This window comes from Homo sapiens, chromosome 7, assembly GCF_000001405.40.
Source record: "Homo sapiens chromosome 7, GRCh38.p14 Primary Assembly".
Lineage (NCBI taxonomy): Eukaryota > Metazoa > Chordata > Mammalia > Primates > Hominidae > Homo > Homo sapiens.
This window is the reverse complement of record NC_000007.14, coordinates 89,388,983-89,402,481: the sequence shown is the minus strand read 5'-3', so window position 1 is coordinate 89,402,481 and position 13,499 is coordinate 89,388,983. Positions and strand designations below refer to the sequence as shown.

Here is a 13,499-nt window from a genome sequence, read left to right as displayed (position 1 = left end):
AAAATTTTAAAGTTTTTTCTGTCATTAGAGTATAAGTGAGATATTAATCCATGTCAGTTTAATTTCAAGGAGGCTGGTTTTTAAGAAAGATGAATTGGATGATTATTAAAATAAAAAAACTATAGAACTTGCAAAAGGCAAGATATTATTGTTTTCTGTGTATACACAGATGATGAAAGTCTAATGAAAGACTTGTGAAATTTCATAGCTGAAAAGGACTTTAGATACCATTCTAATATAGATCATTTTATTTTATATAAAAGATATTGAGGGCTAGAAATGTGAGTAGGAGTCAGGTTTAGATCCAGGGTTGCTAGTTCATTTTTCCTAGTTATTGCTTTGATCAAGTTCATATGCATGCATTTTTATTGTCAAAAGTTAAAAATAAGATGAGAAAGAGCAAGAGGCTTATTTCACAGAAACTGAGAAATTTGATTTGTTCTTGGTGGACAGCCACAATTAGAGTAAGTTGAAGTAAACAACATTTTTTTGTGTGTCAGCATGTATTACAAACATTTAAATAAAACGCAAGCTCAAGCGGGAAGATAGAACAGAGGAATTTTTGGAAGTGTGGAGGAGTAAACAGTGCTTCTGGCTGACACCGAAAATAGGCCTCACATCTATTCTGCACTAATGATTATTTGGTAACTGAGTAAAAACATTTTCAGCTATTAGGTAATATCAGTATATATCCGTTTATCAGGCAAGATTATTGCTCAATGCTAAAGCCAAGAAACTCTAGGTTTTGAAGGTGTTTGGACTGTGTAAGGAACTTTTGGACAATATAATTTAAGCTGTTTGTTCAAGTACCTTCTCCTATTTTTTTCCACAGCATTAGTTTCCAGAAGTAAGTTAAAGAGCAAGTGATAAGGTCAAAGCTTAGTGAAAAGCTTTGCAGGGTGTTTCATATTATTTTCATGAGCACTGCCATGTAATTCCCTTGAGTGGGTGCTTTGCAAATTTCGGATACTTCTCTTAACTTTTTAAAGTCCCTTAATCAAACTGTGGCCATCTCTGTCTGGCATGGGCAAATTTATTTTCTCCTGGCCATGAAGCTGAGGAAGCTTCTAACATTTTATCCTAATTTAAAACCCATGCAGTATACACTGTGACTATTGCCCAGTTTGAGAGCTGTCTAAATGCAGAGTGGATAGTGACACACATCCTGAAAAATGTAGGCAAAGGAATAATCTTAACAATTGGCTCCTCACTCATTCCTCAGGGTCCAGAGCATACTCTTCCTGTGAGCTAAGCTATCCAAGTGGCAATTTGTTTTGAAATCTATCCATCCTACAAAATGGATGAATGGAAATGATTAGTTGAATTTGTTTAGAAAACACATTTAAAACCATTGCTTTGTGCTAGCTGGGTCAACAAAGCCATATAATATTGCCATGGTTGTTCCTCTCTTTTCACCTGAGACTGTTCTCAATTTCCTCCCCAGCAAGAGAACTCTAACATGGCACCAATCCTTGAAATGACAGTTATTTATTCACTTTTTGGCACTAACCCTTTAGGAGAGAAGACTTTGTCTAGTCAGGCCATTTGCAGCTCTACACAAATTTTTCTGTTGATGATAAAGTAAAATTGTCTTCAATAAATGTCTAAATGTCAGTAAAATTTCAAATAGCAGATTACTGACTCTATTTTCACATAGAGCATTAGACAGTATCCATTTTTGCCTAAGTCGTGGCAAAACTAATTTTGTTCCCCTCATTTATTTAAACGACCATGGGTGGTGGTATCAAGCTGACCAACTGCATGCTTGTCCTTCAGTTTTCACACAGAGCAGCTGTTGTTAGTTACTGCATACTCAATAAACTGGTGCAGAGGGTGACTCTACTTTTAAAATCCAGACTCACAGGATAGCCTGAAATCAAACATTATATGTTCTTTTTTCCCAGAATGCCAGCACCCTGGTGGGAAAATGTTTAAATCACTGTATAAATTCAGAAGCTATAATTATTTCCTAATCAAGAGCAAAAAGTGGGAACTGAATGTAGTATCTGTGTTCTTTTTGTTAGAGAGTAAATATTCACCAAATTTAAACCCCAAGAACATTTGTCAGCCTAGCAACTATCCTCAATTCCTGGCACAAACCAATAGGGAGGTTGATTGATCAAAAATAGGACCCACAATACTGATTGCTGAGAGATCTCAAAATAGAGATATGAAATGATAAAATCCTACTGTGTTCTCAGAAGGCCGATGAAAAATTCGCTGGCCTGAAACCTTATAAACACTGCATATTTTAGCACCACTATCCTTTGAATACTTCAGAGGGAGCCTCTTTTCTGAACTCAACACCTTTGAAATAATTCCTTTAACTGAGAGCAGTTAAACCTAGGAGGATATTTAATGCCCAGAATAGCTACTGAAATGTCTGGCACTGGTAGGGAATTGGAGGATCAAATAACTTATATATTTCTTATAGAAAAGAAAATAAATAACACTTTAAATTTAAGTGGGATTTATTTGAACTGATAATACATTTAGACCTATATGTAAAGCAAGGTCTTAATCATTTCATGCAGAAGCACTAGCAATAAATGTTTTGAGTAAAGACCATATCCTTTCCTTAGGCCTTCTAGTTTGATGTTCTTGCTGTTCATGTTTTAGTTAGATATAAAAGAGCTAATAATATACAGGGATATCTGAATGTGGTTGATATGTAGGTTTGTGAGAAAAAAAGATGTTCATATATTGACTTTTATCAGTACTAAAATAACATAATTACTGAAGTAAATAATATATCAGTTGCCTCTTATATGCTATATGATAGGGATTATTATTTCCATTCTACAAAGGAAGTTGAAGAAACTGAATCTGTGGCCCAAGGCCATAGTGGTAGTTAAGCAGAGGAGGCAGAATTTGAACCAGTACATGTAATGATTCCAGTACACTGAAAATACTGCATTGCAAAATAAGCTCACTGATTTATGCTTTGTTAGCAAAATGAAACACGAATCAGCCATTCCCGGTGGATACTCATATACACAGGCCTCTAGGTTCAACACCAATACTTCCCTACTGTTCTTTTGCTGAGGAATTGTGTTCGTATTCTGAGCTTTTTTTTTGTCTGTTAAAGTAGTACATAACCTTCACTAAGTCCTCCTTGCACTAGTAATGTTCTCCATTTGCTGCCTATTAACTGTGAAAAAATCTACTAATCACACTATTTCACTGAAGATTCTTTTCATTTGTCCTCTCTCACATATTTCCTACTGCACTGAAATATTCAACAAATTTGTCTTTTGGCATTAAATTTTAATTTCTTACATTTCTGATTGTGACCTCTTTTCTACACACATCATTGTGTAACCCTTCTGATCCCTATTTTTGGTACCTTTATTTATCAGTTTCTAGCTGGCTGTAGTTCTAGATGGCCAACACATCTCCAAATATGTATTTCCTAGTTTGTTCTGGAGTGGTGTGACCTTGATGTTAGCTTCTGAGCTTTTCCAGTCACTGGTACTTTCTAAAACTCTATGATGTTTACATAAACGTACCTACTAGCTATCTTAAAAGCCAATTATCTTGAGTTTATTTCCATCCTACTGTCAGGTAAAAGAGGCAGGTTGTTTTATTCTTGTTGGCTTTTATATCTCCAGGTGCTTTGGAGAGATAGGAAGCACTAAAGAAGGTGAGATGCTAAATTCAACAAACTCAAAACCTGTGAATTTATCAAGAGACATGAAGCTTTCAGGATATGATATAGAGACTCTCAGAGAGGTTTCTTGGTAAACCAGTCTTTTATTTTTGTCACTGTAGTTAGTTAGCATAAATGTTATTCCAAGCATCTTTTTCTCCTTTCCCTTCTGGCTCTTTAGCTATGCTGTGAAACAAACTGGATATCGAAAGATAAAAAATTAAATGTAATAAAGAAAGGAAATTAACATATTTGTTGCATGACTTATGGAAAGCTTCTTAGTGCCTTAGAAATGCTGCATTATCCGGTGTATCACCTGAGGTCAGGAGTTCGAGACCAGCCTGGCCAACATGGTGAAACTCCGTCTCTACAAAAATACAAAAATTAGCCGGGCATGATGGCGGGTGCCTGTAATCCTAGCTACTTGGGAGGCTGAGGCAGGAGAATTGCTTGAACTTGGGAGGCAGAGGTTGCAGTGAGCCGAGATCGTGCCATTGCACTCCAGCCTGGGATACAGAGAAAGACTCCATCTCAAAAAAAAAAAAAAAAAAAAAGTTGCCTTATTTAATTTGATATATATAACAATTTTGTGTGTTAAGTTTTATTTTTTCTAATTTTACAAATAGGAAACTAGAGTGAGGAATATTTAAGTAACTTTCACCATGATCACATGAGCAATAAGGGGCAGAACAAAATTTGAATCCAGGACTGAGTGACTTGAAGGTCTGTACTCTTTCACTAGACCACACTTATTTTAAATAGGCAAGTGCATCTTTATAAATTAATTTAAATTTTTATTCTAGTCAGCCAAAGGAGAGAATGAAATCATGTCTTGTGCAGTAAGATGGACGGAACTAGAGGCCAGTTTCTTAAGTAAAATAACTCAGAAATAGAAAGTCAAATACTTCATGCTGTTACTTATAAATGGGAGTTAACAATGGGTACACATGGACACACAGAGTGGAATAAGAGACATTGGAGACTACAAAAGGTGGGAGGGGAGGATGTGGGGGAAGATTGAAAAATCACCTGTTGGGGACAATGTTCACTATTCAGGTGATGAGTACACGAAAAGCCCAGACTTCACTGCTACACAATGTACACATGTAATAAATCTGCACTTCTATTCACTAAATGTATAAAACTAAAAAAGAGGAAATGTTTATCTAAAAAAAACTGACTCATTTTTCTGAATGTATGTTGCTTAACAATATAGTTCTTAAACTTTTTAACTTAGTTTACCTAATTGCAAAAGATACCGTACAAATAAGAGGTTGGGAAACTTAATCTAAATTGTCCACAAATTTAAACTATCCTTAGGGACTCACGTAATAACTTTCAAATTCCTGCAAAATCAGCATTCTACTATGTTTCTCTTTATTTTAATATAAAACTATTTTTAAATTATGTTAATAAAAAGCCACAAAACTAAATGTTCTAACTTGTCACTTTGATTAATGAGCATTATATTATTAGGTTGATTCTAAGGATTTTGTAAAACAGGCTGAATACTCACCATATCTATCTATCTATCTATCTATCTATCTATCTATCTACCTACCTACCTATCTATCTATCTACCTACCTACCTACCTATCTATCTATCTAACAATCAACCAATCACCTATCTATGCTATGGTCTACAATGATCTACATAATTCTGACCCCTAGCTATCCCTCAGACCTAATTTTATCTAAATTTATCTGGACTTAGTCCAGCCACATTAACTTTCTTGCTGTTCTTCAGATATTCTAAGCAAAGTCCCACCTCAGCAACTTTGCATTTAAGTGTTCTCTGCTAGATAGCTAACTCCCTATCTCCGTGGCTAACTCCCTCTTCTCTGTCACATCTCACTTAGTTTTAAATGCTATCTTCTCTGGGAGGTCTGCCCTTGCCTTTTAAAATGGTATCCCCTCATTCACTATCCATCCTCTTTTTGAAAAAATGTCTGGTACTGATCAGTTTAAGAATTCATCAGTTTGCCCTCCTAGAATGCCAGCCAATGAGGTCAGAAACTTTTTTTCACTTTTTATATGATTCAGAGTTGTTAATTGCAGAAACACATAGGTATCACAGAAAGTAATAAATTTATTAAAAGCTGAAACTTTGCTTATGGACTCTCCAAAGGGCAAGATCATTAGACTTGGAGGCTAAGCCACCAGGAACCTCACAGTAGGGATGCTCTAATAAAGATCCCACCTCTGTTGCCAGGGGAGTCAGATAACCACAGTTTATATACTGATCACTTGCTGCTTCGGGAACTCCAACTTCTCAGCTACTGGCAATGACTCCACAGCTAAAACATTTAGAAAAATGTCCCTTTCAGTGTTTTCTTCCTCTAGTTGTTCCTTCTGGACAAAAGTCTTGGGTGAGTTCATCTGTTTAGCAAATTGTAAGTGACATACACGAGCCCTAGATGAAGAGCGTCTAGAAGAGCAAGTTGCAGACTTCTAATTTGAGAAGAGCAGCTCTGACCTAGGAAATCCATCTCCTAAACATAAGGAAGCTCTTCAGAACATGCCGCATAGTAAAAAAATTAAGGCAAATGTCCATGTCACCACTGCATTTTCAGCACCTGAAGCAGTGCCAGACACACTTTAAGCATTTTGTAATAGTTGCTAATTGAATGAATGAATATATCATATTCATGTTTCAGGTAATGTATTTTCTTCACTTTGTTGTCACAATATTTTGAGGGCTGAATTTACATATATTTCTGGTTTCATACAGCAATAGTATTTTCCAGTATTTTGGAGCTCCAAAGTGCCATTAAGAATGGAAAAGCAGTATTTTCCAGATTTCTGTTGTTAACTGCTTATTTAGGTACACTCTTTTGGTGAGTTCAGATGAACTACTCCCTATGATGGCTGAAGTGTGCCTTCATCTGCCAATTGGGTTCTTTCACCAACTCAGGGAAACCTGAGTCAAAGGTCTTTTCAGTGTAGAAAAATGACTACTGATTCCTGTAGTTTATTTTACATCAATATTCTGAGCAGGTCAACAGTTTCCTTTATAAATTCTTTGCTGACACATATGTTTTGATATTCATAATTTTCAGACATTACAATGTTAGTAGAGTACATACACCATAAATTATATAAATTCTCAGTAGGGTCTAGGGAAGTGCCCTGTACTCAAACTAATAACTATCTCTGTAAGGAAACATATAACAATATATCATACTAAGTTTGATAAAGTAAGATAAAAGCTGTAAATAGCCACACATCTGTTTATATCAGGTCTTGTTTCCAAATAAGTTATAAAACTGTTTTGGTTTTTCAGAAGTTTTTGGACTCTGGAATTAATAATGAGATTATAGACCTATAATCTTATCAAATATCAATGACTGAAGACACTTGTTCATTGTTGCTGTGATCAAATTTCCTCATTCAACTTTCAATGTATTTTTAAGGCTCTAATTTTGACATGGACATTACACATATTTACTTTGTTTTGCCTTTTGATTGGGAATGTTCAGCCCAGAAAAATAAGTCAATAAATTTGTATGTATTTTCTATACTGACTTACTTACTTTTTTTTTTTTTTTTTTTTTTTTAGAGAGTCTTGTTCTGTCCTGGGCTGGAGTGCAGTGGTGTGATCTCAGTTCACTGCAATCTCCACCTCTGAGGTTCAAGTGATTCTCCTGCCTCAGTGTCCTGAGTAGCTGGGATTACAGGTGTGCACCACCATGCCCGGCATATTTTTGCATTAGTAGAGAAAGCATTTCACCATGTTGGCGAGGCTGGTCTCAAACCCCTGACTTCAAGTGATCCACCCACCTTGGCCTCCCAAAGTGCTGGGATTAAAGGCATGAGCCACCACACCCAGGCTATACTTACTTTACTCTTCATAAATGTAAAACTCATGTCTTACTAAAGCTTCCAACTACATTCCACAATTTCCAGATTGACTATTTCTGTTGTACTTTACTAGCTCCTCATGAATGCCTAATTTAAAACATCAGCACATACATTTCTTCATATCTACTCAGATTCTTACATTGCTATAATCTACTATTTTAAGATATTTGAATTTCTGTTTTTTCAATACTGACCAATGTATACAGTTGACACATAATTTAAAGAGATTATTTTAAAAATAGCATTCCTCAAATAAGGTAATTTTTAAAGTGGAAGGATGAACAGTAAACCATTCTTGTGCCTGATCACTGCCCATCCAGCCAGAATCTACTCAAACAACAGTGATAGTGTTCTGGACATATGTTTATAGGATAATATTATTTGACAAGAATTGCACATCACACATAGTCATTAATGAAGATTTTCTTTAAAATACATATGAATATCCAATTTTAATAGATAGAGATTGGAAACATCCCTGGACCTCATCACTCAAATTGTACTCTTTATTTACAGCAAGTTTTGACAAAATGTATTGAACAATGTTCTCTCCTGTTTTCTGATATCTGTAAAGTATAGTTCTGTATTCACAGGATACCAATTTAATTTCCATGATAGACTTTGCATCTAATATTTTTAAACTATCAATAGTGCAACAGATATTATAATTTTTCCTACACTAAGTCCTAGCTTTCACACTGGGAAAAGCTAATTTAAAAGGCTCCCAAGATAATGTTGGTGGCTAAATGAGATTTCTAGCTTTACTTACACTTTTACTAATATTAATGTTTTATAATTAAAAATTAATAGCTTTTTCGTAGATTTCAGAAATTTTGTAAGTAATATTTTTAGAAGGAGATGGATTCATAGCATTAAAAAAAAACTTTTGCCAAAATTCTCAAATAACTGTTCTTCAGGAATAATGTACTATTTGACAATAGTTATTGAAGAGTAGAGGGAAAGACATTAAAGGGAATTTTTCCTTAATTCTACCACCATGCTCTACAATATTCATGAATTCAGATTATCCAACTGTCTTAGTCTATTTAGCGTTTCTATAAAGGAATAACTGAGGTTGAGTAATTTATAGAGAAGGGATTTACTAGGCCTACAGCTTTGCGGGCTGTACAAGAAGCACGGCACCAGCATCTGCTTCTGATGAAGGCTGCAGGCTGCTTCCACTTGTGGTAGCAGGAAAGGGAGAGCTGGGATGTGCAGAGTTCACATGAGAGAGGATGTAAGAAGCGGGGGGAGGTGGCAGATTCTTTTTAAAAATCAACTTTCTTGGGAACTAATAAAAAGAGAACTCATTACTGCAAGGATGGCACCAAGCCGTTCATGAGGGAATGGCTGTCCCCATGAGCCGAAACACCTCCCATTAGGTCCCACCTTCAACATTGAGGACCAAAGTTTAACATGAAGTTTGCGGGGACAAACTCCATGGTATCGCACTTACACAGGCCAAAATATCCTATCGCTAATACCATCCATTGTCCTGAACAAAAATATGTAAAAAGCATAGAAAGATACAAAACACACTAAAGGTTTTTGTTGTCTTGATTGAAGGAGGCCCCTCAACACTAATAATTAGAATTGTCCCTTTGTTCCCGAGAATTTTGTGCACTCCACTGCTGAGCAACACTGAAAACTTGAAGAGTGCTAAAAAGTTCTGGCAGGCTGGACAAATGTGCCTTTCTTTTGTAAAGTGAGAGAAGAGTAATTTTGAAAAGAGAAAGGGAAATGGAAAATGAACAAGAGACCTGGACTGTAGCTATATCTTTTAGGAAGGAGTAAAAATGGAAATTAGAATCCACTGATTAATTATCTTAATATTTATGGCTATGTTGTTCTTTGAAAAGTTTTAGTGTAACCCATAGTCTGTGTACCCTATTTTAAGACTATTTATCCTTCTTCTAACTCCATCTCTTCTCACACCACACTGGAGTCTATTCTTAAGTGCCCTAATTTGAGAATCCTGGATTTATAGTTTTGGTATTCATGAAGTTTATTTTTGGACTATCTAGAAGGGCTTGTTAGGTGTGTGTAATTCATACACATGGGGTCACACTCTTTTTAAAATTTAAAATAAAATGAAATGGATCAAGACTCCAAACTGTGGGTTTATAAAACCCTGGCTCCTTCTTGGCCTGATACCCTCTTCCCACTCCTACGTAGTTATTCCCTTGCCTCTCTTCAAAGGCAAATCAAATCCTACAAGAGTCCTTCTTCCCTTCTCAGACTGTTGCTGGCGATCTACCATGTTGTTGAGGCTTTTTTTTCCCCCATGAGTCTACCGGGTTGTCCCAAGAAGCTAAAAATTCCCCAACTTTAATCATTGTAACTCAACTATCTCTTTATCCTTCATTCTAGCTATGAGGATGGGCATCTGTCACATTTGACATTCAAAAAGACCGTCTATAAATTTTCCTAAAGAAAAAGAGTTGTCTTTTGAAATGGAGTTCTTACATAAACATATTCTCTAAACCTGATGCTCAAAAGTCATCTTCATATTGTTTTCCTTTATGTCTCTTGAGTCATCATATTTTGTTTTATTAACTGAAATGATACAGATCCTATTTTCCAGAGCATCTTCCTTTCTTGCTATATTTTAAATAATGTCTTTTTTATATGGATTATTTTTATAAATATTCTAAAAATTTAACCATACAAAAGCCCATAGCAAAGGGCTTTTTTTTCCTCCTTGATGAATATTGTGATGTTCAGAACATTTAGTTTTATTTTCCATGGAAATTGTACACTGGCTAGTGAGTTTAATTGCATATCCTTTAGTCTCAAAGATTTTTTTCCCCAATTTTAAACAATTAAAAACTAAAATGATAGTTTGGTTATTTCTGAATACATTTAAAGACCCATTATAGGAAGTAAATATTGGAACATAATAATTATTTTAATTAGCTATGAAATATAGAGGGTCTAAATCCAAATATATATTATATACACACACACACATATATAATTAAAGCCTGCACATTTAATATGTTAATTACCATCTAATAGTGTTGCTTATTAACATTTGATTTTAAATACTTTTCTGGTGAGTATTTCAACACTCACTCCTTGTAACTTAGGAGATAATTTTAAAATTACCAACACCTGAGCCCAGCCCTCAGCGATTCTGAATTAGTTGGTGTTAGATGGGTCCTAGTGTTTGCTTTCTCGTTTTTTTTTTTGTCTTGTATCTAACATGCCATATAGTTGAAAAAAACAATTGTAAAGTGAAGTTAATGTTTCCATTTTACTTCCCAATATGGTAACGTCTAAATTACTTACTTAACTTTCAAATTCTAAATTCTTTACTTAACTATTATTAGTGTAATATTCCATTTTCATGCTGCTGATAAAGACATACCCAAGACTAGGCAATTTACAAAAGAGAGACGTTTAATTGAACTTACGGATCCACATGGCTGGGGAAGCCTCACAATCATGGCAGAAGGCAAGGAGGAGCAAGTCACATCTTATGTGGATGGCGGCAGGCAATAAATGAGAGCTTGTGTAGGGAAACTCCCATTTTAAAGTCGTCAGATCTCGTGAGACTCATTCACTATCCAGAGAACAGTGCAGGAAAGACCTGCCCCCATAATTCAATCACCTCCCACCTGGCCCTCTGATAACACATGGAAATTGTAGGGGTTATAATTCAAGATGAGATTTGGGTGTGGACACAGGCAAACGCTATCAACTAGTTTCTAGGATAACAACAATCTCATCCTTCCTCATCCCATCTTTAACTCATGTTCCAGTATGTGCACTTATGATCTGAATCTTACATAAAAATTGCTAAGTGGAAAATTCCAACTTGCTTCAAGGAAATATTAGATGCAACTAAATATTGATAAATTCCAAACTATGGAATATATAATATATATTGCCTCTGAATAATACTGAAGCATGGCATTTCTGTCTCTTTTAACAAAGAACAAATCTTAGAAAGGAGAGAAAAAAAAGACAAAAAAAAACCAGCACCACTCTTACCCTAACATGATGTTGCGAGGAGAAGAAAATAATAGGTATGGTTTTTAAAAAAATTGGTCAGTCATCTAAAATAGTGTTTTCTATTCATAAACAGTGAAGTAGAATTATAGCTCCGCCCAAATTATTCGCAACGCCATGCCTTGTCATTCCATCTCATATCAAACTCTAAATGTTAAATCCCTTCTTTTTATTTCTAGAGGGAATTTGAACTCTAAGGTTTAAATCCCTCCTAGTACTGAAAAGACATTGGATTGAACTTTTTGGGAGATAATGCCCTGTGTGAACCCTAAAACCAGAAACTAGGTGCCCTCTGCCAGCAATTTGAAAAGGAAGACATCAGAACTAAAATGCCATACAAGTTGCTGCAGACTGTGAGGACATAATAAAACATAAGAACAGTTTTGGAAGGGATAACAGTGAAATTATCGCAGAATTGAGCAGTAGTATTAAAACTAGCCTATAGCAATATTTTTGTGATATATTTTCTTAAATATTAGCTATAAATTATTACATCTAAACTTAAATGATGTTCTATCATACACATCTGGGAATTTGCATCTGTTATACAACTCTTTCGAGAATCATAGCTATTCATATAAGTTGTTCTAGTTAATTAACTTTAATTTCTGTAGAATTATTTATTTATTGATGCAATGCACATAAACTGATAGATGTGTATACATGGGAGTTTGTGACAGTATTTTATCTACGTTTGTGGATGTCTTATTTTTACATAATAAAAAGCTAAAAGTAAAATGCAATATATACAATGTTCCCATAGATGATTAAAAGAAAAAACATATATCCTTTTAAAAATTAGAAATAATGAACAATTCCTGAAACCACATTAACCAAAATTGAATCAGGAGAAACAAAAAGACTAAATAGTCCTAAAATTATTAACAAAATTGAAACAGCAATTGGTAATTCTTCTGTAGGGGAAAATTTCAGACTGAGATGGTTTTTAGAGTGAGTTCAATATATAGTAACATAATGTAATACATATGTCAAAATATACATAAGCTATTCCAGGAAAAAATAAACAAAAACCCCTCCTAATTTATTTTATGGGATATTTTTATCTTTAACACCAAACTCAAAGCCAAATGAGAAAAGACTAATAAAGACTGTTTTTATTATACATACATAATATATATGTAAGAATATACATAAAAATTATTTAAAGATTAACAAGTAATATACAAAAGTATACTACAATATTATGACTTAAGTCTTATTCTAGCATTATAATGCTGTCTACAGAACATAAAAATGGAAGTCACAATAACAGTCTAAATAACACATTAATAGAGTTTTAAAATATTCTTTTTTAATAAAAATATGAAGTAAATAAGTCAAATAAAAAATTTTAATCTGAAAAAGAATACCCCCAGGAAAACTCCTACAACAAATATAACTTCAGTGGTGAATTTGTAAATGCTATTGTTAAAATAAGGAGAAAGATAAAACTGACTTATGGTTTTCATTCAACAACTTATTAGAGGTATTCACCATCATATTAAGACAAAAGAATACACAAGAAGAGACAAAGTACATCTGTGTTTGAAATAGAAAATAAAACTCATTTTTCAGTCTGTATTTTAAAAACCTAATTTAACCTCTATAAAAAAATTTAGGCCCCAGCATTTTGGGGGGCAGAGGCAGGCGGATCACCTGAGGTTGGGAGTTTGAGACCAGCCTGACCAACATGGAGAAACCCCGTCTCTACTAAAAACACAAAATTAGCTGGACGTGGTGGCGCATGCCTGTAATCCCAGCTACTTGGGAGGCTGAGGCAAGAGAATCGCTTGAACCGGGGAGGCAGAGGTTGCTGTGAGCAGAGATCGCGCCATTTCACTCCAGCCTGGGCAACAAGAGTGAAACTCCATCTCAAAAATAAATAAATAAATAAAAATTATCATTTACAACAGCAACAAATACAAAATGAACTTAAGAAACACACTAGCAAAATGTATGCAAGAATTGTATATAC

General features: G+C 34.7%; 1 annotated feature.

The window, feature by feature from the left end:
• Nucleotides 13,026-13,222: a silencer, noted in NCBI's record as "fragment chr7:89018574-89018770 (GRCh37/hg19 assembly coordinates)". NCBI's record gives its function as "represses an EF-1alpha promoter that drives an FKBP-Casp9 reporter gene in an ReSE screen in K562 erythroleukemia cells {active_cell/tissue: K562}" and the evidence as "EXISTENCE:reporter gene assay evidence [ECO:0000049][PMID:32094911]".